The sequence below is a fragment of the Homo sapiens genome, chromosome 7, assembly GCF_000001405.40.
Source record: "Homo sapiens chromosome 7, GRCh38.p14 Primary Assembly".
Lineage (NCBI taxonomy): Eukaryota > Metazoa > Chordata > Mammalia > Primates > Hominidae > Homo > Homo sapiens.
In genome coordinates, this window is record NC_000007.14 from 38,869,788 (window position 1) to 38,895,529 (window position 25,742).

At 38.2% G+C, this 25,742-nt stretch overlaps 1 protein-coding gene across 3 annotated transcripts in view, besides 2 other annotated features; it reads right to left on the bottom strand.

The window, feature by feature from the left end:
* The window catches only part of VPS41 (VPS41 subunit of HOPS complex), a 186,218-nt gene that overhangs the window by 146,814 nt on the left and 13,662 nt on the right, over positions 1 to 25,742 (bottom strand). The window lies entirely within an intron of this gene.
* Positions 16,147 to 16,663: an enhancer, noted in NCBI's record as "H3K27ac-H3K4me1 hESC enhancer chr7:38925534-38926050 (GRCh37/hg19 assembly coordinates)". NCBI's record gives its function as "activates a minimal SCP1, AML or CMV promoter by ChIP-STARR-seq in naive and primed H9 embryonic stem cells {active_cell/tissue: H9 hESC(naive and primed)}" and the evidence as "EXISTENCE:reporter gene assay evidence [ECO:0000049][PMID:30033119]".
* Positions 16,664 to 17,180: an enhancer, noted in NCBI's record as "H3K27ac-H3K4me1 hESC enhancer chr7:38926051-38926567 (GRCh37/hg19 assembly coordinates)". NCBI's record gives its function as "activates a minimal SCP1, AML or CMV promoter by ChIP-STARR-seq in naive and primed H9 embryonic stem cells {active_cell/tissue: H9 hESC(naive and primed)}" and the evidence as "EXISTENCE:reporter gene assay evidence [ECO:0000049][PMID:30033119]".

The window sequence follows — 25,742 nt, forward strand, 5'->3', positions numbered from 1 at the left end:
AGACTATGGAATTACCGTGGTTTGTAGAGTCAAAAAACCATTCAAACCACCATAATTGCATAGTCTTCACCCTCCAGCTAATATTAGAGTAGCTTGAGGACATCAGTGCTCCCACCACAAATAACCAGAAAGTCTTGATGGAATATATAACAACATCTATCCAAGGCATCAAAGGGCTGCTGAGGCAACCTCAACTAGAAGGATCAAGATTCCAGGGCAGCAGAGAATTGAGCTGGCATTCTACAGCCACTTTCTTCCTGGAGGCATTTACTAATTCTGGGTGTAGGACAAGAGGCTGAGAACCCAAGCTCTGCCTGGGAAGACAGCCACTGCCGGGGGTAGGGAAAGCAGCACACCTTCTGGCACTTGCGGGGATGGAGTGACAAAACTGGAGAGAGACCTGCGGGGCTAAGATATCAGTGGAAGAGAGGCAGAGACATGAGCTTGTTACACAGCTACTTTTCCCTGTAAGACAACTGTCAATTTCTAAAGCTGCAAAGGATGAAGCTAAAAAGCTGAACAGAAAGAAAAATGCAAACCAGCTGCCTTGATGTGTTAAAAAGATAAGAATAAGAGTTCAAGAGGCATCGGGAAATTGGATCCTGGTGAATATCACAGTCTTAGTTGGAACCCCTGGTCCCCAGAGGACACAAAAACTTAACTCCCTTAGAGTTCTGACTCAGCTCAATCTTTGATTGGAGTAAGGTATATAACCCCCAACATAACTGTCTAGTGAAGGAAAGGGTGACTCCTCTTCAGAGAAAGAAAACTACTGGGGCCTCTACAATTTTTCATGTACAGTACTAAGGATTCAATAAAATATTACCAGGTATGCCATAAGACGGGACCAAATGACCAAAAATCAGGATGAAAAAAGACCATAAAAATAAACAAATGGGTGACCTAGACATTGAAGTTAGCAGGGCTTTAAAATAACTATGACTATATGTTCAAAAAAAAAAAAAAAAAAAAAAAAACAGAAAAAGACAGAAAGCTGATGAAAAGATAGAAATTTTCAACAGAATTCTAATCTGTTAAAAAAAAAAAAAAGAATCAAATGAAATTTTTTACACTGAAAATGTTAACTGAATTAAGAAGTCAATAGATGGTTTAATATAAGATTAGCAAAACAGAAGACAAAATAAGTGAAATGAGTAAAAAAAAATATCCAAAGGGAACTCCAGAGAAGAATAAATGGAAGGAAAATATGTAAAGGAATCTATGAGGCATGTAGAACACAGTGAAAAGCTCTAACATACTTTTCATTACAGTCCCAGAAGGATAAGGAAAAATGGAAAGGAACAAGAGCAACATTTAAAGAGATAACAACAGAATTTTCCAAAACTGATAAGACATCAACCTACAAACTCAAGAAGCTCTGCAATAAGCAGGATAAATATAAAGTCACACCTAAGGTGCATCATAGTAAAAAGAAAATTAGGCAAAAGAAAAACGACTTGTAGAGTAATAAGTGCTCTGCCTATGGAAGATTATAAGACTGATGAGACACACTAGGCAGAGACTGCAAACTCAAATTCTTACAGAAGTCTTCACCTGTGGGGCAAGGGATTGCATCTTCACATGGAAAGGGGTTAATCTGTGGATTAATGGAAATGATGGAGTACATCAAGCATCATGCTAGAGACTTAATATCAGATATCTCATTTCATCCTGACTTAAAAGAAAAAACAAACAAACCCTACTGAGAGTTAAGTATAATTATCCTGTTTTACAGATTTTCAGCAAAAACTGGTGATCAGAGATTTTAAGTAATTTCCTCAAGACATACAGTGGGTAGAGGAGAAGCTAAAGTTCAAATTCAGCTATGAGTGCTCTAAAGTCAATACCTTCTATAACACACTCCAAAATCTCCAAAGAAAATGATGCTACAAATCACAACAGAAGCCTATTCTAAACCTAGAAATAATTATAAACTGTGTGATCATTAGAAAATGTTTTAAAATATGTTTATTTAGCAGGTGCATTAGCTAGCTATTGTTGTGTAACAAATTATGCCAACACTTGCTGATTTACTTACTTTATTATTATTTTCTATAAAGATAGAGACTCATTATGTTGCCCAGGCTGGACTCAAACTCATAGGTTCAAGAAATCTTCTCGCCTCAGCCTTCCAAGTAGCTAAGACTACAAGCATGTGCCACACTCCTGGCCACCAAAATGTACTGATTTAAAACAACAATAAATATGTATTCGTTTACAGTTTCTAAGGGTAGGCAATTCAGAAGTGGCTTAGCTGAGTGGTTCACTGAGGACTTCTCACGGCGTTGCAGACAAGATGTCAGCTAGGGCTGTAACTATCAGAAGGCCTGACTGGGTTTAGAGGATCTGCTTCCAAGATGGCTCAATCAAATGGCTGGCAAGTTGGTCCTCACTGTTGGCAGAAGTTGCCAACACTCTTGGATCACTCACTCCGGAGGAAGCCACTTGCCATGTTCTGATCAAGCAGCCCTGTGGAGGGGTCCACGAAGCAAGAGTGATCCAAGAGGAAACAAAGTGGAAGCCCCATCCATGTTTCATATGGCCTCAGATGGAACACTGTCATTTCTACAATATCCTTTCAGTCATACGGGTCAGTCATGATTCAGTGTGGGAGGTGCAGGCACAGAGCATGAATAATAGGAGGTAAGGATCACTGGAGGCCATCATGCAGGCTATTTCGTGTCTACTGATAAGCTGTCTTAAATTCAATTCCCTTGTTATACATAAGCTATTAGCTGTTTATTTCGGATGCAAGTATTAAAAACAAAGATGATATACCTGTTATTAACTTTCCAAGAATAACTTTAAGAACTAATAGCAACAAAAGGGAAGTATATGCACAGTTATCCATAGGGCCTACACATTTCTATGAAAAGGTAGTGATCATCTACCCAACCCAAGGAGCTGTTACACCTCAAAACTGACCTGTTTTTAACAGAAAATATAAAATAGCTAATTAGCCAAGTCTAAAAAATGTGAAAAAAGAAAACTGCAAAAAACAACAGACACTTCTACTTATGTAAATACAAGCAAGAAAGAGAAATCATTACAAAGTTAATATTAAATGTAGCACAGATGATGTGTGCATTCTGAAGTAAACATGTTAAATACAAATTGAATCCTGAGTGTTAGTCTTTATAATAAGATGCCACATGTTGCTCAAGTCTGGACATCAAATGTGCATCCAATGTGAAAAGTTAATTCTAGCCTCTTGACTATTTTGCATAAAAGCACTCATCCACGGACCATTAGATAAAGTTACTGTAAATAAGGTTTCCCTGTCTTACTTATAAGTGAAAACTAAATAATTTCTCACACATAAATATACAAAAATAAATGTTTTCACAACACAGCTCAGTGAAGCATCCTTACGGGGTTTCAAAAACCATAAATAAAATGAAAACTCCAATATTAGGCATTTGATGTATCATTTCACGCTTTTCTGACGGGTATCTTTTATGTTAAGTTAAAAGTAGGGTAAAGGTGAATTTTTTAAGGTTTTTTTTTTCCTTCTTGCTGTAAACAAAGAAAATAGAAAGTGATTGAAAAATACGATTCATGGAGGTTATTCTGCTGCTGCTGACTCTATATCACACTTTAAATAAAAAACATTTAAAAGTCTAGTAGATTATAGAGTTTCTCTTTAACTAAAAAAATAATAATAATAGAAAAAAGGTTTTCATGCAGTTTGGACTTCCACGGTAAACAACCCAGTGTTAATAAAAAGCAAATCAATAATTTTTGTTAAATTTTAATAATCCTACAAACCTACAAATAAAACCATCAACAGTCTGAGTTAAGATGACAGTTAACTGCGTTTCTATGACAACCTAGTGGAATAGTACAAGTCCTGACTTGCAGCTAAGCGAAGATATGAACAGAGTGACATTTACCCATACAAGAAAAATTTGCGGCTTTCTTTTAAAAAGAATCAATTCCTCAACTCACATAGATTTTTACTAAGTGTAGAGCACTTTTAATTAAAGACAAGTCCTTTATACCATCCTACAGAATTCTAAACACTATCTGAAAATAAATGTCACATCATGGTCAATCTTACTGAGTTTTGGACTTAGGAGGAGGGAAATTACTTTTAAGGATAACAAATCAAAGCATTTAAAGACTTCTCCCTGAAAAACTGTTTAGTGATGTTGTTACAGTGTTACCATGGGGTAAATTTTCATGGAGGAAGTCCTGTTTACCTAACTTGGTCTTGTATACCAACAAGAATATTTTACATTTCTTTTCACCTAATAATTTAAAATTTGTATACAAGAAATTGATTTTTTCAGTGTTTACAACCAAAAATAATTGTGCAGAATGGGTTCTACATTTTTCATCTTGTTTAAACATATCTTTCACATATATTGGTACATTTTATATGGCATCACTGTTACAGGCCAAATGAAGACTTGAATTTTACTTTTTAAAAATGTGTGTCACATGAATTCTAGGGGTTAAGAGAAAGATCATCACATTTTCTACTGTTACTACTTACACAGAACTTAAAATGTCACCTCTGGATACCATTTCTTTATTAAAATCCATTTTGTTTTGTTTTTACAAAATAAAATGATACTCAATATACTGATTGGGGAAAGGTGAGATATCTTATAAAGCCCAAATTAGGCTGGTAGAAACCACCACCAGTGGAGCACTCCTCAACTATTCACATCTCACTCTGTGGAGATGACCTTCATCCTCTCCAGCTTCACCTGAGAAAGACCTCAGCTGAACCTCCAGGAATTTTAATAAGATGAATGGTTTAGTTGGTTTCATGTCATCAACTACATCTGACTAGGGGCAAATCCTTTTAATAAATATCCAATGTTTTAAAGCTAGATACAATAGGGAAACACTAATATCCTCAAAAGAAATTCACACACAAACACACACAAAAAAAACCTTTCATGCAGTTTGAACTTCCACAGTAAAAAACCAACTATTAATAAAAAGAAAATCGATAACCAACCCTGGGGATGAAGCTATAAAATACAGGTTTTCTTCCTCTAGAACATTCTTTCTAGAACTCTAATTACCTATGGGGAATTGAAATATCCAAAATTAGTAGTGGACCTTACAAGCTTAACATATAAAAAACAGCTATCAAAATCCTGTATCAGAACATTTGAATTTTAGGAAATTTGCATTTTAAAAAATTCTCTCTTTACAAATAATTCAATTTGTAGAAGCCCTATGACTAAAATATTTCTTTGCTATTACTATTAAGAGGAGAGAATAGAAAGATAAAACACAGTTGGTACCAAATACAAATAAATTTTTAAGAGCATAATTAAAATTAATACAATCAATCAAAACACATCTTGAGTTTCAAAAACATATAACAATATTTTAAGGAATAGTTCCAGTCACTATCACAGGATATTAACACATTAACAACACGCACAAAAGGCAACATACACAGGAGCTACATATTATTGGATATTCACATTTATTTGAAACTATAACATTATCACTAAAAGTACATGAATAATATAGGACATCTCCAAATTTGTCACATTCGTATTAAAGTTTTCCATAAAGTGTAGAAAAGATCCAAGATGAGAAAAAAGAATGCCTAAAAAAGAACCTGAAGGTAAAGTTCAAAATGAATCAAAAAGTCTTCAATCAGCTTTGTATCGCCCACCACACCTCATCCCAAGAAAGAATGCTACTTCCTTAAAAAGACAACTGTAACTATTAATACTGTATGCTATAGTTCTATTAAAGAAAGATCATTTTATTTACACACAAAGATGACTATCTGGTAGGAAAGATGGCTTTATAGATCCTTCTAAAGTGTCAAAACGTATCAAGAAAACTACATAAACAAGCTGAAAGAGTAACTTCTGGTTTCCATTAATAACACAAGGTATTATAGCTGCCTCAATGACCAAACTTTTTAAGAAAGTGACATGAAGATAATGGAATTCATCTACAATAAAACAACTGTGGTCAAAGCTCCCAGCATGCCTTTCCATCAGACTGCTGAGAGATAGGCAATTACATTCTTATATGAATGCAAAAAATGTTGTTAAATTTTCAACTTACAAGCAATATTGCTATTAAGGAAAAAATATATTAATTTTTAAAGTAGCTGAAATTAGGAGCTGATAAATGTAATCTGGATGGCATGGGTCTACTTTTTCAAACAGAAAATTCAGCATGAGTTTACTATACCCACATATTATTATTTAAAGCATAAAATACATACGGTTAAATGAGTAGTTCTCAGCCAGAGGTGATTTTTGTCCCCCAGGGACATTTATTTGGCAATGTCTAGAGTCATTTTTGTTGTCACAGTTGGGTGGGGGAAAGGTGCTACTGACATCTAGCAGGTAGAGGCCAGGGATTATGCTAAACAATTTACAATGCACAAGACACTCTCCCAGAACAAAAAATTATCCAGCCCAAAGTGCCAGTAGCCCCAAGGTTGAAAAATTCTGGATTAAATAAATTTCACAAGATAAAATATTACATTTACATTAAAATCTGTTTTCAAAGACAATTTAATAACAAAAAGAAATGTTCTCACAATGTCTTTCTAAGTGAAAGAATAGGTCATAAAACCTGCTTTGTATGATCCAAATTTTATTTAAGAAATGTATATGCATATATGGGGGGAAGATGAGAAGAATAAACACCAATATAGTAATTTCCCTAAGGTCGGTTTCTTCCTCTGTAGAATGGGGATGAAAATAGAAATCACATCACCCGGTTGCTGTAACTATTAAAGATAGCAAATAAAAAAAATCACTGTTGTGAGCTATTGCCAATATTTTCTAAATTTTCTAAAACAAACATATTTATTATAAAAACGGTTCAACATCCTCTTCAACACTTTGTATCTACTGAGCTAAGATTTTTATCTCTCAAAGCTGCTTTGCTTTACCGTAACACACTAACCAGAAAACTGAGAAGTTGAGCCCCTAATAATTGAGGAGCTCTACTTAAGATTCACAAGATATGCAGTCTTCATAAACCCTGGTCTCTCCTGTGCCCTGTAGTATTAGAATTTCATGTTCAATTCAAGGAGGAAAAAATAAGGTGAAGGTTCCCATGCCCTAAGCCACATACCATAAACAGGATCAACTCCCATCATTTAGTTTATATTGGGAAAGCGATAAGAATATATAGAAGAGGGGAAAAAATGAGAAAAGCAAATAAGCTTTTCATTTCCTTCTAGCCATATGGAATAACCTCACCAATCTTCAAGCTATGCCATTCAGGTGGACAATTTCCGCCACTAAAGCCAACATAACCCTCTTTTCCTCTCTTGCCAATATCCCTTGGTGATCACAAGATCCTCAGAAGCAGAGTTTATGCCTTTTCATTGTTCTGAACTTCACCTAACAGAACTGTGGGTACCTAATAAAGACCAGTGAAAACAAACGTATGTAGTAACAGCAGACCAGGTTTGGTAAGCAGCTTTTCTAAGACATTCTCATTTAGATTTCCACACAGGAAAATCCAAATCATAGAATATTAACCAAAGGAACCTCAGAGATCATCTAAACTATGTGTTACTTCGCAGACACAGAGAAGGAGGGGTAAAAGGGGGAGCAGGGAGGTCGAGGCACCAAACAGAAGGAAAGGGCTGGCAATTTTGAAATACCATAAACTAGAATTATAGATAAATTTATAGAAGTGGAACTATATCATCTTCTAGCAGTAGAAGCAAATAGAGGTCCTGCAAACTCAGTTGTCAGAAAAACTTACACTTATTTCTAATAAATTTATGTTGTTATACGAAAAAGGAAAATGCTGAAGCTCTTCAAATTATTTTGTTTGAGAGGAGATTAAATGCCTCTCGAGCATTTCCAATTGCACATTCCATAAGCCAAGTGCAAAGAAGCAACTTGCTAACCACCCCCACCAAAGCCTCTACCAGTTTCTCAATAATTTCCAAGAAAAATTAGATAAAGATAAAAATTCACTATAGCAGTAAGCATTAAAATGATTACCAAAATCAAGGAGAAACTGACACATTTGTTGAATCTAAATTCCTGACATATTCTGATTTGTTTCAAGAAACATAACCCACCTGAACAAAAGGTATTCAGATGATTTCTAGCTCTCCCACCAACCCTCTGTGCCCAAGACTGGGGCTGAGCTTGCCCCAGCCTCACAGAGCCGACCCCTGCCCTACCCCTTAGCTACTCTTTTCCAGAAGGAGAACTATGCTTGCAGCCTCTGCCCACTGTATCTCCAATCCTCACACATTTTAGCCCTGACCACCATCTTTCTACATCTTTCTTCCACAGGCTGAGACTCTAAACCTCTATCACCTGGGCAGTGCCCTCCATGGTCTGGGAGTCCAGCCTTAAGCAGTGCAGGACCAAAGGACCTCTAATAGCAGGAAGGTGGGCACTGCAGGGACCAGAGAAAACTAACAAAAGTAAAGCTAAAATGAATTAATAAACCAGAAAAAAAAATAGTAAGTCCAAGCATTAATACCTTTTACAGACAAATTGAATATGAGACACACAAAAAAACAGTGAGAAAATAAAAGCCATTAAAGTACTATCTATCTCATGCAGAAAGGTACATGGCTCAGGCTGTTTCAGTGGCAAGTTCTATTAAAAACCTTCAAAGAATGGAAAATTCCCAACTTATTTAAGCTGCCCCATAAGAGGCAAATATAAAAACTTCCAAATTCATTTTGATAACCATGATATCAAAACTCCCAAACAGTACACCAAAAACAACAAAAAATATACATAAAATTCTGTCATCTCATGTAGAAATTTAAATGTAGAAAGTCTAAATATCATAAATCAAACCCCGCATATATTAATAAAAAACATGTAAGATCAAATATTGCAAAAACACAAAGACTGAGTATTAGGAAATCTGACGTCATTTGATAAGTCAGAGGAAAAAGAAAACGCAGGGCCATCTTGACAGACACTGCAGACAGCATTTATAAAGTTCAACACTTGTTTCTGATCTTAAAAAAGCTTTCAGTAAATACAAAGGTTTCTTTACCGAAGAGCTAAGAATGAAGAGCCACGAATGACCATTTGAATTCAGAAGTCAACATGATATGGAGCAATGAAATAAGAGAAACATTCCCATCATCAGCAGGAAACAACGCACAGGTGCCAACAATCACTTCTGCTTTTTTCAAAACCAACTTAGAAGTTTTAGCCAAGGCAAAAGACAAGAAAATGGAAAACGTAATAAATTGATCCTAGTTGGTATGGTCTTATTTGAAGACAGTATGACTAGAAAGAACAAAACATGGCTTCTGCCAAGACAGAGAGCTGACCTGTGCTGCTGGCCTTCTACCCCCAACTCAGCCCTGAAGACATGCTAAAAATGAGAGGAAAGAGGGATTCCAGAAATTAACATGCCCAAGTAAGAAACTATGGAGGCACTGAAACGACCCACAGTGGGGAGCCAGGGGCAACAGTAAGGATGAGGGTCAAGGAAAGCTGGTAGATCCAGCGTTGACCTCTCCCCCGGGTGCCTGGTTTTGCTTCCCCATTCACTACAGAAATGGGCAGCAACAGCCCAGCCTCACAGGGGTGAGGACTGGCCGGCTGCATTCACTCCTCCATTTTCTCCCTTCCTCCTAACAAGTAGAGATGCTTGTTAGGGGCTGCTTCCTCTGTGGATTAACTCAAAGTGCACTTCATGAAGGCTCAGAAGAGTCACCTCACAAATTCCCACACTGAATCGTATTTTTGGAGGAAGTATTCAAATAACAGAAAAAAAAAAATCCAGAAGCTGCTGTAAGACAGTGGTCCCCAACCTTTTTGGCACCAGGGACTGGTTTTGTGGAAGACAATTTTTCCACCAGGGTGAGGGTGGTGGTGATGGTCTCGGTTTGGGGATGAAATTGTTCCACCTCAGATCATCAGGCATTAGATCCTCATAAGGAGTGCAACCTAGATCCTTCGCATGCACAGATCACAGTAGGGTTCATGCTTGTATGAGAATCTAATGCTGTGGCTGATCTAACAGGAGGTGGACCGCAGGCGGTAATGCTCACTCCCCCACTGCGCACATGGACCGGTGGGTTGGAGACCCCTGCTGAAATAGGTATGAGATGTAAGGACAATCAAGTATCTTAATAAAGGTCACTAATGTCATTTCTTTAAAAAAAAAAAAAAGAAAGAAAGAAAATTATCCAAAATCCTACTGAAATTCATAATCAAGAGCCAGTCACAAAACAAACTAAAATTTTTCTTTTGCCATTTCTACCATATGCAGCGCATATACACTGTACTAGTTACTTAAAACCTTGGTTACCTTGCCTTTTGTGAAAAGGAAATGATAACCTGCACCTCAGAGGACTTTTGTAAGAATTAAATGCAATAAATGTACGTAAAGCACAAAGCTTAGTATCTGGTAATACCCAGTGAATGTGAAATACTAAAAATACAGCCATGATGTGTATTACAACCCCAACTTCACACTGCAGAACTCATGGCCTCCCTTCTAAGTTACTTCCTATCACATGACCAGACCATAAAACCAAACAGTAACACTTCTTATCTAATTACCTCATTGTTTTAAGCTATTAAAAGATGAAGATACATTACTTTTTATTTTACCACATCATTTAAAAAAATTTTTTTTCACACACATTTAAGTGTGAATCTTGTTATTAGGAATGTAAAAGGAAATGCTACCCTCTCCTATTTTAGCCAAGAACCTCTCCTGGATGCCTGTAAAGACTAAAAGTAGCCCATGACAGCCCAAATCCCTCACAACTGCCCAATCACTGGTGATGGAAATGATGACAACAGACTAAACCCTTAAGCTCTCTCAGAGGTTTCCCCACTCCCATCCCTCCCTGATGCGATTCTGAGAGACGTATTTAATCTACTCAGGTCTTTGGGGAAAACAGTCATATTCTAAAGTAAAGAACTGTGATGACATGGATGCCTGTGAATCTCTGTATTTAAAAACGGCTGCACTGAAACTGAAATAGCTCATGGATGAAAGAAACCTTTGTGCTATTTAGATTTGTTATAGCATTTCTTGAGCCTGCAGAGACAGGAATGCCTTAAAGCCTTGACAGCATAGAATCAGGCCCTAATTGTCAAGTGAAATGATCATTTAAACACACTCTTGAACAATCATCAGAAAAGACACATTTTTATAAATACAGCTCCCCACAGTATTAGCAGTTTCGTCACAACCATTTTCTGTATGTTCTCCTTGCTGGATGTATTTGACTTCCAAAACTCTGAAATGCGGCCTAATGAAAAGTGTTAAGGAGACAAGGTCATTCAATCAAATTATTTACTGTATTAGTTTCCTATCATTGCTGTAAAAAAAATGTGACAAACTTAGTAGTATGAAGCGACACAAATTTGTTGTCGTACAGTGCTGTAGATTAGAAGTCTGACACAGATCTCACTGGGCTAAAATCAGGGTGTCAGTAGTGCTGCCCTCCCCTGGAAGCTGGGGGGAGAATCCCTTTCCTCTCCTTTTCCAGCTTCTGAAAGCGCCAGCATTCCTTGGCTGTGGGCCCTTCTTCCCTCTTCAAAGCTAGCAAAGGCAGGTTGAATCATTCCCACATCACAGCCTTTTCTCCTGCCTCCCTCTTCCATTTACAAAGACCCTTAGGATTATACTGGCCCTGTCCAGATAATCTCACTCTCCTACAGTCAGCTGATTAGCAACCTTAATTTTCCCTTGCTGTGTAACATGACATATTCACAGGTTCCAGGGATTAGGATGTAGACATCTTTGGGGAACCATTATTCTGCCTGTTACAGAGAATAATATAAGGATCAGAGAGGATAAAAATGATGGTGAGCAAAAGAGTTGGAAGCTCTGAGCCAAACTCAAAGCTAAATAAAAAAACTTCTCATTTGTTTGCTCCTAAATTAAATATTGATCCCTGTGAGGACACGGCATGGGATAAAACAATTCTCCGGTTGAGTCAGGAGGCGAGGAGTGGTCCTTGTTTCTGTTTGACAAAGGCCTCCTCAAAGCCCTAGTTTCACCATCTCCAAAATGAGGACACAACACCAGCTTGACATAATTGTTGAGACGATTAATAAAATCAATTCATTCATTCACTGACGAGCAGCTCTACTAGATACTGGGGCCAGGGTGCCTATCCTCACGAAAGTGCCTTGCATACATATGGACAAAAAATAATAAAATAGCAGCAGCAGCATGCTTTCTGAATACCTTTTAATGCCAGGCAAGGTGTCAAACACACATTATCTTCTTTAACAGTCACTCAACAAGTGTCCCATACAAGCATTCTAGATTGCACCATTTTGTAATACACAGTACAAGAATTTCTCAGGGCATCTCAAAGGTATTTTGCCAACTCAATCTCTCCTGAGCTCCTTCCAGTCAAGCCCCACCACCACAAGTCACCACAAGTCACCACAAGTGCTCTTAGAATCACCGGTGGCCTCACTTTTGCAGATCCAAGAGTGAATCCCTAGACCTCATCTCATTCCTCCTCTCAGCAGCATTTGACACAATGATGGTGTCCTTCATCCAGAGACGGGATCCTCCCTTGGTTTCTGGGGCACCACTCTCTCCTGGTTCTTTTCCTACCTCACTGGTTACCCTTTCTCTGTTTCCTTTGCTGATTTCCCTTCATCTACCAGATCTCTAAAATGTGGTAGCACCCCTCAGGGTCCAGGAATCAGGCCTCTTTATCTGTCCTCATGCCCTAAATGATCTCATCCAGTTTCATGGTTTTGAACACCATCTAAATGCTGAGTCACAAATTCTTACCTCCAGTCCAGACTTGAACTACTCTTCTTCAGGTCTACTAGACAATTCCACTTGGATGTCTAATTGACATCTCCAACTTAAAATATGCAAAGTAGAACTTCCAACCTACCCACCACCACTATTTTCACCCTGAGCACCAAAACTAACTCTAGCCAGAGTCCTCCCCTACCTTAGTTACAGCAACCCCATCATTCCAATTGCTCATCCTTGACTGTTCCCTTTCACTTACATGCCCACATTTTAGTCAGGAAATCTGTTGGCTATACTTTAAAAAACAAAAAGCAACTACAGCCTTCATCGCCTCTAGCCCAGAGTTTTAACAAAGCCTCCCCAATGGTCTCCCCTATTCCTACTTATCCTCCTTAGACATTTTTTAAAACAGCATCCAGAGTGATCCTACTAAAACAAAGACTCTCCAATGCTTTCCAGCTTACAGTAAAAAATAAAGACAAGGGCCAGGCACAGTGGCTCATGCCTGTAATCCCAGCACTTTGGGAGGCCGAGGCAGATGGATTACTTGAGGTCAGGAGTTTGAGACCAGCCTGGCCAACATGGTGAAACTCCATCTCTACTAAAAATACAAAAATTAGCTAGGCATGGTGGCATGCACCTGTACTCCTAGCTATTCGAGAGGCTGAGGCAGGAGAATCACTTGAACCTGGGAGGCAGAGGTTGCAGTGAGCCGAGATCGGCCGCTGCGCTCCAGCCTGGGTGACAGAGTGAGACTCCTCAAAAACAAACAAAAAATAAAAAATAAAACAACAAAGACAAGAAATTGACCTGTAGGGTCAACATTCTTAGCTGCCCATTACTTCTTGGACACCATTTCCCACCACTCTGCTCCAGCCACACTCACATCCTAGAAGACATCCAGCATGACCCTACCTCTGGGCACAGTGTTTGCTCTTCCTTTTACCTATGAGACTTTTTCCTCAAATATTTACTCAAATGTCACCTGAACAGACAGGCCTTCCCTAACCACCCAGGATAAAACAGCAACTCCTCAGACCACTCCATAGTCCCCTTAACTAGTGTTATTTCACTTGGTTTATTATATATTTAAGTTTTTTTGTTTACTGTCTCCCTCATGAAATACTTGTGTATCCTAGCATCTAGGATATAAAAGTCATCAATAAATATTTTTTGAATGAATAAAATGATCAACCAATCTTGGACTGCCTAAAATAATTTTTCTTCTAGGTAGTGAAATTATAAATTCTGCTCAAATATATATCATACCAGGGGAGTTGTTTTCATCTCTTCAATCTCTAAGAAAGGGGCGTAATAGAGATTCAAAAATCTTGCCCCCAGAAAGTTTCTACTAAGTTTCCAAACATATAATTTTTATAATATATGCTTCAAAGGGAATGTTTATCCATGCCTGAATGATGCAATAATCAGCAGAACCTGTTAATATTAATAGCTCATTAAATGAAAGAGCAAGTTTGTAAGCCAAGTGCTATGTGGAAGCTATGTGGACACTATAACCCTATGCTCCATTTTTCTCAGCAATCAATCTCATAACAGGGCACATTACCATTTTTGTTATTAGTTGCCATAAATCTGTTTATTAAAATTAATACATGTAAAGAATCAATTTAATTTTCAATAAATGATTCATAATGTTCTACCCACCAAGTGAGATAAATAAATGACTTTTGTGTGATGCATTTCCTGATTTAAAAAGCTATCTCCTGATTTCTCACAATGACTGGTTTTCATTTTAACAAAACTGAAAAAGAACTCTCTTTGTGGCTGATGCACCTAGAAATTGCATTTCATTTTAAAATTAATTTCTCATTCAACTAAATAGCATACAGGTTTATTTTAAATAATTTCAAGTATTTGTCAGTCCACTTGGTTTTATTAAAATTTACACATCTAACATATTTAAGAACTCCTAACTGGTATTTGGAAGAACTAAACCAGAACTAAATGCACATCTGTTTAGGAGGCATGCTTATTTAATAATGGTAACAAAAATTGTAAAGACAAAGGTAACACAATTTTTTTTTATTTGCTTTTTTTGTAGAGAGGAAGGATCACTATGTTACCCAGGCTGGTCTTGAACTCGTGACCTCAAGCAATCCTCCCACCTCGGCTTCCCAATGTGCTGTGATTACAAGTGTGAGCCACTGCGCCTGGCCTACACCAATTAACTGTTCTGTAACTACCTGCCTTGGCCTGGGCTCTGAGTAATACAATGCGCACACAATCTTTGCTTCAACGGAACAAACTATAGGCAGAATAAGCCTAGTTCAGCTATTTAGTTGCGTTCACAAATCAAAGGTCTCTGGAACCCTCATCTGGTACAAAGCAGACCTCAAAACACTTCACTTGCTATTTGGTGCTCTTCTCTTTCCTTAACACTCCTCTTTAGCCTGTTTTTTCCCTTCTTATTCTTCTCTCTGCTGTTCAACTGTAATCTTGAAATGTTAGGCTAATAATTTGATGCTTACATTGCAAAGTTCTTTGTACTATACTCTAAACTCTTCTGAGAAAGGTGGGATATACTTCTAAATATATAATACACCAAGAACCTATTCAGAGCGCAGGATTTTATTTTTTATTTATTTATTTTTTTGAGACGGAGTCTCACTCTGTCACCCAGGCTGGAGTGCAGTGGCACAATCTCGGCTCACGGCAGCCTCCACCTCCCAGGTTCAGGCAATTCCCCTGCCTCAGCCTCCCAAGTAGCTGGAATTACAGGCGCATGCCACTATGCCCGGCTGATTTTTTGTATTTTTAGTAGAGACGGGGTTTCACCGTATTAGCCAGGACGGTCTCGATCTCCCCACCTCATAATCCACTGAGACGCAGGATTTTTTAAAAAATACTTATCTCCATGAAGCAGAGCTGCTTTAGTCTCCAGTTCTATCACCAATGTATTCCATAGCACATTGTTTATGTTCCATAAATAGAAAAAACCCTACAGAAAATGATCACATTTCTGTATTATTAATCGCTCAATTTCCTCTTCCTGCACTACTAATTCTACTCAGAAATAAATGTTGTGTTAAGATACTACAATTTTGGAACTGTTTGTTACTTCAGCATAACCAGCCTCTCCCACCAAATATACTACCTGATAGGACTGTGGTCCATATTAAATGAGATAATCCACATAAAGGACTCAGCATAACATGAGGCATATAGGAAATATTGAAGCAATTGAGTCTTCATGATTTAAATATTGTCTTGCATTAAAATGTTTATCGTGAGATGAATCCAGTGTTGGAAATATCAAAGTAGCCATTAGAAAAATGTTTCAACAAGTAACTATAAATTCTCTTGAAGCAAGTGAAACAATAGGACATCTCAGAAAATAAATAGAATTTTTTTAAAAAAAGGAAAATTTTAGAACTAGAAAATACAATAACCAAAAGACATAACTCACTGGATGGGCTCAATAACAGTGTGGAGATGACACAAGACAGAACCACTGAATCTGAGGATAGATCAAGAGAATGTATACCCTCTGAATGAGAGAGAGAAAACCAGCTTTTTAAAACGAAGAGTCGTCACTTCCAAGATGGCCAAACAGGAACAGCTCCGGTCTACAGCTCCCAGCGAGACTGATGCAGAAGATGGGTGATTTCTGCATTTCCAACTGAGGTACCTGGTTCATCTCATTGGGACTGGTTGGACAGTGGGTGCAGCCCACAGAGGGCAAGCAGAAGCAGGGCAGGGCGTCACCTCACCCTCACAAAAGGGGTCGGGGGATTTCCCTTTCTTAGTCAATGGAAGCCATAAGTGACTGTACCTGGAGGAACGGTATACTCCTGCCCAAATACTGTGCTTTTCCCACGGTCTTTGCAACCAGCAGACCAGGAGATCCTCTCCCGTGCCTGGCTCGGCAGGTACCATGCCCATGGAGCCTTACTCGCTGCTAACGCAGCAGTCTAAGATTGACCTGGGATGCCGGAGCTTGGTGGGGGGAGGGGTGTCTGCCGTTACTGAGGCTTGAGTAGGCGGTTCTATGCTCACAGTGTAAACAAAGTGGCAGGGAAGCTCAAACTGGGCAGAGCCCACCGCAGTTCAGCAAGGCCTACTGCCTTTCTAGGTTCCACCTCTGGGGGCAGGGTATATCTGAACAAAAGGCAGCAGACAGCTTCTCCAGACTTAAATGTCCCTGCCTCACAGCTCTGAAGGGAGCAGTGGTTCTCCCAGCACGGCATTTGAGCTCCAATAACGGACAGACTGCCTCCTCAAGTGGGTCACTGACCCCTGGGTAGCCTGACTGGGAGACACCTTCCAGTAGGGGCCAACAGACACCTCATACAGGCAGGTGCCCCTCTGGGACGAAGCTTCCAGAGGAAGGATCAGGCAGCAATATTTGCTGTTCTGCAGCCTCTGCTGGTGACACCTAGGCAAACAGCATCTGGAATGGACCTCTAGCAAACTGCAACAGACCTGCAGCTGAGGGGCCTGTCTGTTAGAAGGAAAACTAACAAACAGAAAGGAATAGCATCAACATAAACAAAAAGGACATCAACACCAAAATCCCATACATAGGTCACCAACATCAAAGACCAAAGGTGGATAAAACCACAAAGATGGGGAGAAACCAGAGCAGAAAGGCAGAAAATTCTAAAAACCAAAACACCTCTTCTCCTCCAAAGGAACACAACTCCTCGCCAGCAAGGGAACAAAACTGGATGGATAACGAGTTTGACAAGTTGACCGAAGTAGGCTTCAAAGGCCGGTAATAACTAACTTCTCCAAACTAAAGCAGCACGTTCTAACCCATCACGAGGAAGCTAAAAACCTTGAAAAAAGGTTAGACGAATGGCTAACTAGAATAAACAGTGTAGAGAAGAGCTTAAATGACCTAATGGAGCTGAAAACCACAATATGAGAACTTCGTAAAGCATACACAAGCTTCAATAGCCAATTCGATCGGCTGGAAGAAAGGATATCAGTGATTGAAGATCGAATTAGTGAAACAAAGCAAGAAGACAAGATTAGAGAAAAAAGAGTGAAAAGAAACAAACAACACCTCCAAGAAATATGGGACTATGTGAAAAGACCAAATCTACGTCTGATTGGTGTACCTGAAAGTGGCGGGGATAATGGAACCAAGTTGGAAAACACTCTTCAGGGTATTATCCAGGAGAACTTCCCCAACCTAGCAAGACAGGCCAACATTCACATTCAGGAAATACAGAGAACACCACAAAGATACTCCTCGAGAAGAGCAACCCCAAGACACATAATTGTCAGATTCACCAAGGTTGAAATGAAGGAAAAAATGTTAAGGGCAGCCAGAGAGAAAGGTCAGGTCACCCACAAAGGGAGGCCTATCAGACTGACAGCAGGTCTCTCTGCAGAAACCCTACAAGCCAGAAGAGAGTGGGGGCCAATATTCAACATTCTTAAAGAAAAGAATTTTCAACCCAGAATTTCATATCCAGTCAAACTAAGCTTCATAAGTAAAGGAGAAATAAAATTCTTTACAGACAAGCAAATGCTGAGAGATTTCATCACCATCAGGCCTGCATTACAAGAGCTCCTGAAGGAAGCACTAGACGTGGATAGGAACAACTGGTACCAGCCACTGCAAAAACATGCCAAATTGTAAAGACCATCGATGCTATGAAAAAACTGTATCAATTAACGGGGGAAATAACCAGCTAGCATCATCATGACAGGATCAAATTCACACATAACAATATTAACCTTAAATGTAAACGGGCTAAATGCCCCAATTAAAAGACACAGACGCAAACTGGATAGAGTCAAGACCCATTGGTGTGCAGTATTCAGGAGACCTACCTCACATGCAAAGACACACATAGGCTCAAAATAAAGGGATGGTGGAAGATGTAGAAAGCAAATGAAAAGTGAAAAAAAAGCAGGGGTTGCAATCCTGGACTCTGATAAAACAGACTTTAAACCAACAAAGATCAAAAGAGACAAAGCAGGTATTACATAATGGTAAAGGTATCAATTCAACAAGAAGAGCTAACTATCCTAAATATATATGTACCCAATACAGGAGCACCCAGATTCATAAAGCAAGTTCTTAGAGACCTACAAAGAGACTTAGACTCCCACACAGTAATAATGGGAGACTTTAACACCCCACTGTTAATATCAGACACATCAACGAGACAGAAAATTAACAAGGATATCCAGGACTTGAACTCAGCTCTGGAGCAAGCAGACCTAATAGACATCTACAGAACTCCCCACCCCAAATCAACAGAATATACATTCTTCTCAGCACCACATTGCACTTATTCTAAAATTGACCACATAAGTGGAAATAAAACACTCCTCAGCAAATGTAAAAGAACAGAAATCACAACAAACTGTCTCTCAGACCACAAAGCAATCAAATTAGAACTCAGGATTAAGAACCTCACTCAAAACCACACAACTACATGGAAACTGAACAACCTGTTCCTGAATGACTACTGGGGAACATCACACACTGGGGCCTGTGGGGGGTGGGGGGCTAGGGGAGGGAAATCATTAGGAGAAATACCTAATGTAGGTGACAGGTTGATGGGTGCAGAAAACCACCATGGCACTTGTATACCTATGTAACAAAATTGCATGTTCTGCACATGTAACCCAGAACTTAAAGTATAATTTAAAAAAAAAAAAATGAAGAGTCTCAGGGACCTGTGAAAAAAATAATAAAAGGGCCAACATTCATGTTATTACAGTTCCACAGGGAAAGAGAGTGGGATTGAAAAAGTATTTGGAGAAAAAATGGTTGAAAACTTTCACAATTTGGTGAAGGGCATAAACCTACAGATTCCAGAAGCTGAGCAAACCCCAAATAAGACAAATAAAAGAAATTCATGCCCAAAGACCTTATAATTAAACTTGCAAACACTAAAGTTAAAAAAAAAAAAAATCTTGAAAACAGCTAGGGAAACAGCACATTTCTTACCGGAAACACCAATTCAAATGAAAATGGGTTTCTCATTTGAAATGATAGAAGCCAGAGGGAAGTGGCACAATATATCTTATGTCCTCAAAGAAAAGAATTGCCAACCACAAATGCTGTATCTGGTTAAAAAAACAAAACAAAACAAAACAAAAAAAAAAAAAAACCTTAAAACTGAAGGGAAGATAAAGATACTCTCATATTAAAAAATTTAAAAATTTAAAATAACTAAGAATTTCTCACTTGCAAGCCTATCCTTAAAGAGTGGCTAATAGGAGTTTTCCATACAGAAAGGAACAGTAGAAGATAGAAGATAACAGAAAAAAAGGCTTAGAACTTCAAAAAGGAGAAGAGAACACAGAGATGAGTGAAAACAGGGGTAAATATAATAGATTATTCTTTTCATGAGTTTCTTAAATGACATTTGATAGTTGAAGCCAAAAAATACAATACCAACTGATGTGGTGCTCAAAGTACATAAAGTAAATATTTAAACAATTGCACTTAAAAAGCAAGGAGGGTAAAGGAACTAAATGGAAGTAAGGTTTCTACACTTCACTAGAAGTGGCAAACTGTTGTGGACACCAGTAGACTGTGATAAGTTATGTATATATATTTCAATACCTAGAGCAACCACTAGGAAATTATACAAAGGAACTAAAAAATATTATAAATTAAGATGGAATCCTAAAACATGTTCAAGTAACGCACAGGAAAGAAAGGAAAGAGAAACAAGAGAAATGAAAAACGGAGGATACAAACAGAAAACCAAAAAATGGCAGACTTAAGCCTTAACATATCATTACTTTAAATGTGAGTGGTCTGCCTACAACTAGTTAAAAGACTGGCAGAGCACCAAAAAAAGCCCATTTCCAAAGGTTACGCTCTATATGGTTCTATGCATATAGTATGTATAAAACGACAAAATTATACAGATGGAGAACAGATTAGTAGTTGCCAGGAGTTGGATGTGCGGCAAGGAGTGGCTGTGACCAAAAAAAGATAGCACAGGGAACCTTGTGATGAAACTGTCCTGTATTTTCACTGCAGTGGAGTGGTGGTTACATGAATCTTCACATGATAAAACTGCACAGAACTAAGTACACACAAACTCATGCACACACACAAATGAATGCATGTAATACGGGTGAAATCCAAATAAGGTCTGTGCCTTGTATCAATATCAATTTCCTGGCGTGATATTGTACTAGAGTTACGTAAGATGTTACCCTTTGGAAAGCGGGTGAAGGATATTCAGAATATCTTTGCATTTTTCCCTTTTTTTTTTTCTTTTAGAGATAGGGTCTTGCTCTGCTGTCCAGTCTGGAGTGCAGTGGCATAATCATGGTTCAATGCAGCCTCAACCTCCTGGGCTGAAGTGATCCTCCCACCTCAGCCTCCCAAGTAACCATGTCTACAGGCAAGCTCCATCATGCCTAGTCAATTTTTAAATTTTTTGTAGAGACGGGGTCTCACTGTGTTGCCCCAGCTGGTCTCAAACTCCTGGCCTCAAGTGATCCTCCCGCCTTGACCTCCCACCTCTGTGTTATTTCTTAACTACATGTGAATATACGGTTATTTCAAAATGACTTTTTTTTAAATTTAATATCTCAAGGAAAAAAAAGTGTAGTAGAATAAAAAACAATTTTGGCTTTATATTAACAGAAAATCTTGAATACAATAAAATTGGCTAAGAAATAAACCAAATCTTTCCCCTAACTCCCTTGTTAGAGAGTTTGAGATGGGGAAGGAAAGACATACCATTTCATTCTGGGTTCCATAGCTCTGCAACCCAAACATCAATACAGAAGACACCTATAATATGTATAAAGATGAATATGTTTTGCTAAAAAAAAGTTATTTTGCTAAGTATATAAGTTATGCATATTATAGAAAATTTAGAAAATGAAGGCAGATAATGATAGTAAATAAAATTAAAAAGCACATGTCCCAGTGATAATATGGCCTTGTATGCTTTTCCTTTGTTTATATATGGATTTTGTGGGGTAGAGAGAAACCAGTATATATCCTAAATCGGGAATCAGCAAACTACAGCCTGCAGACCAAATCCAGCCAGGCATCTGTTTTTGAACAGCCCATAAACTAAGCATGATGTTTACACTTTTACACAGTTACATACATGGCAGATACACACATAATATCTGCCATATTGCCTCTGTCTGCAAAGCTTTTAAATATTTACTACCTAGAACTTTACAGAAAACGCCTGTCGACTCCTGTTCTTAATGGCATTTTTATAAAAAGCTTTTTAAATTATAAAGATAACATGAAAAAGGACATATGAATATTTTCTTTACTTAAAAATTAATGCCATTAATCAAGTTAGTGGCAGAATAACAATCCATTATATGGGTTATATGACTAAACCTTTATTAATCAATTCATTTCTGGATATTTAGCCTGTTTCCAAATTTTTGTATTATACAAAGCAAATGAATGCTCTTATAGCTAAATTTCTAAATACAGAAATGAGTATTTTTAAGGAGGTCTCACAGCTAACATTATTTCATAAATATTTTTATAATTGTTTTGTAAATAAACAGCATTATATATTTTGAGGTATAACAGGAACTTTATTAAACAATTAATATTATATATAAATTAACTATTCTCTATTCTCTGGAATAGAAAGCAATTCTGAAACTGGTATATTTTCCTACAAGTTGAACAAATCGAAATCTGTAATATTACCCAAAAATCTCATTATTATACATAGAGAAAATTCCAAAGATTTTTTTTTTTAATCCTGTCAAATTCTATAAAGGTACATAGAAGAAGAGTTTGGCCTAAAAACAGAGAGTCAAAAGGAAGTTAAAGGCAGTATAACTAGAGGTTGGAGCCTCGGAGTCAAACTACGGGATCCAAATGCATTTACCAACTGGGTAGCCTTGCAAAGTTACCGAAAACTTGAAGTCTGTGTTTTTATCTGTAAACTGGAAGTGATCATCATGGCCAAGTCACAGGGCAGATTAAGATACCTAAAGAGCATACCAAAGTGCCCAGCACTGTTTTCTATACTAAATAACTGTTCATTTTTGTAATGATCATCATTATCAGGGTAGACTTCTCACACGATACTTGTTCCATTACATCTTTGCTCCAAAGGGGGCCCAGACCTGCCTCTAACAAGCAGTAACTTGTAGGACTTAAAAAATAAAATTCCAGAAATTAATTTGATCATTTGCTTTTGTTTGAAAATATATTTAATACGGAAGCATATTACTTGTTTCAGCTTGAACAAGGCCATATAAAAGAGGTCACCAATGGATTACAAAGTACCACTTTAAAGAAAAGAATAATCTAAACATAAAGACATCAATCTTTAGGTTCAGAATTCAGGATTAGAACATCTTTTTCCTCTCACTGTTTATACTGGACTCATTTTACTGTAACAAAGCTGAACTAGACACTGGAATCTTCCTGACTCCCCATTTGGCTCGTCTCTTCCACACTATCCTATATTTCCTATTGACTGGACTCAAGAAGCATTTCCTTGGAGTCAGTTCCTCTTTGTCTTCCGCTACTGCCTTGCCCAGGCCTCTACACTCCTCCTATCTCTTATGGGGACTTCCATGAGAACCACGCAAATGGTCTTCCTGCTATCATCTCTCCTTCCAGTTCATCTGTCACCAACCCCTTCCCTACTCTCAACAATCAAACTTTTGGGTGGCTCCCCGATGGCCACAGAATCAAGTCCACACTTCCTGGTTTAATACATTAGGAGCTTCACAACCGCACCAATTTCCTTCACCAGCCTCACTGCCCCACCCTTCTACACTACAGCCACATTGAGTGCCTCATGGGTGGCTAAACATACATACATACTCTTGCATGACTCAGTCTCTGCACATACATTCCCTCCTTCCCAAAGACTCCCAGCTTCGCTGCCCAGACTCACCTCCCAAGATTCTAGGCAGACTCACTCTTGAAGACTCCAACTGAAGCCATTCCTGACCATTCATCCACTCCTCTGTGCTCCCACCTCACTCTGTTACCATTTACACAAGAGCAATCATCCCTAAGTATTGAAAAGATCTTAATGCTTCAAAATAGGAGTGAAATCCTTTTGAAGATAATGTACTTCTTTGTTATGCTCTTCAAAAATAAAACACCATCTAAGAAGTAGTCTGGCTCACAATATCAAGGTGAAATAAACAGTACACTGCATATTTTTCAAAACATCCACGCTGGAAGGACCAGTTTAGTTAGTCTCAAAATTTTGCCACAACCAATTATTACTGTAAATGCAGGACCCTTAACTATGTAGCCTATTAAATGACATACTTAACTATCTTGGTTGTAACATGATTTTGCATTTCTACTTTAACTGCAAAATATATTAAAATTCTTAAAGTTTTAAATATTGACATGTACACCACTTTCCTTTACATTAATAATACTAACTAAACAATTTCATTTCATTTGATTGTAGTTTTCAAGAGTAATGAAAAACATACGGCCAGTTTTTGGTAGACAATATTCTTTTCCCAAACATATATTAAAATAAGACCTTCAGATAAATTTAAAAGTCTTACTGATATAATATAAAAGCACAGTTTACATGAAATGCAACATTTCATAAAATGATATATAAATTGTTATATGGTTGAAAACACTACACATTATTCTTTATGGAAATGGAAATTATCCTAGCACTTGAATAAGGAAAAGGTAGAAATATATAAGGAAAATGCCTGTCCTTCAAAAAAAGTTTAACAGTTACAAAACACGAGAAGAGATGATAGAGAACGAAGAGAAATGGATGAAGGAGGAATCTCTGGTGGACTGAGTGGTGTCTCAAAATATCGCTCCTGGAACTGGAAAGTGATTCAAACTGAGTAAAAAAACTCCAAAGTCTTCAAAGGCTCAACTGCAAACAGGCTTACTACACTTACAAGGCCTAAACCTGGTCCATCAACATCCTGACTACTTTGCTGGTCCATAAACTCAGTAGAATCAGTAATATCTAGGAGAGTAACTGTTTTCATAGAGCTAGAGGCAGCGGGGGGCACGGAGGCTAGGGTTGGGGGGAAGTGGGGGAGGAATCTCTCTAAGCCCTCAGGTTGAAGCACCAAGCTGGAAAATGAGCCACCATGACAATATCTAAAATATAAACTGAAGGTCATTAATATTTAGCAAGTGCTTCCCATGTGCTAGGCTCTATATAAGATGCTTTATGAACATTAATCGTATCTATCTTCACAGCAACCATACAAGGCAAGCAACAAGACCCATTTTTCACACGAGGAAACTGAAGAATACAGGAGGTAAGTGCTATGCCCAGGTCATACAAAAAGCACAAGGTATGGCCATGATACAAATGAGGGTCCACCTCCAGTTCTTTAGCACTATCCCAAGCAGTAGGCACTGGAGGCTAGACAGCAAGAAAATGGAAAGAGCCCAGAGTTGGAACCCCTTTCTCCTCCTCATCAGCTGTAGGACATTAGGCAATCAAGCCACATTTGGGTCTCACTTTCCTCAATCTTAAAATAACTACCTTTTCCTTCCATTTATCTCCTCAGTTTGGCCAAGTCTCATTCCCTAACTTCCTAGTTTCTTTGTCCATTTCTAATATAGTTTTTAAATATCTGATTTAAGGTACTTTACTGTGGCCAGGCACGGTGGCTCACGCCTATAATCCCAACACTTTGGGAGGCTGAGGCAGGCAGATCACTTGAGGCCAGGAGTTTGACACCTGCTTGGCCAACATGGCAAAACCCCATCTCTACTAAAAACACAAAAGTGAACTGGGCGTGTTGGTGCACACCTGTAATCACAGCTACTCAGGAGCCTGAAGCATGAGAATCGCTTGAACCTGGGAGGTGGAGGTTGCAGTGAGCCGAGATCGTGCCACTGCACTCCAGTCTTGGTGACAAAGCAAGACTTTGTCTAAAAAAAAATAAAAATAAAAAAATAAAAAAAACAAACCACGTTAAGGTAGTTTATTGTATCTGCAAATGCTTGTTTATAGACATTCAACTCATGATGGAGTGTTATGTTATTGTTTTCTGCTACTGAAACCTCTGATTCTGACTTTCTTTCTTCCTATAGTAGCTTTTTATGGATGTTACTTGTCATTTCAATTCATTTTTAAATGTCT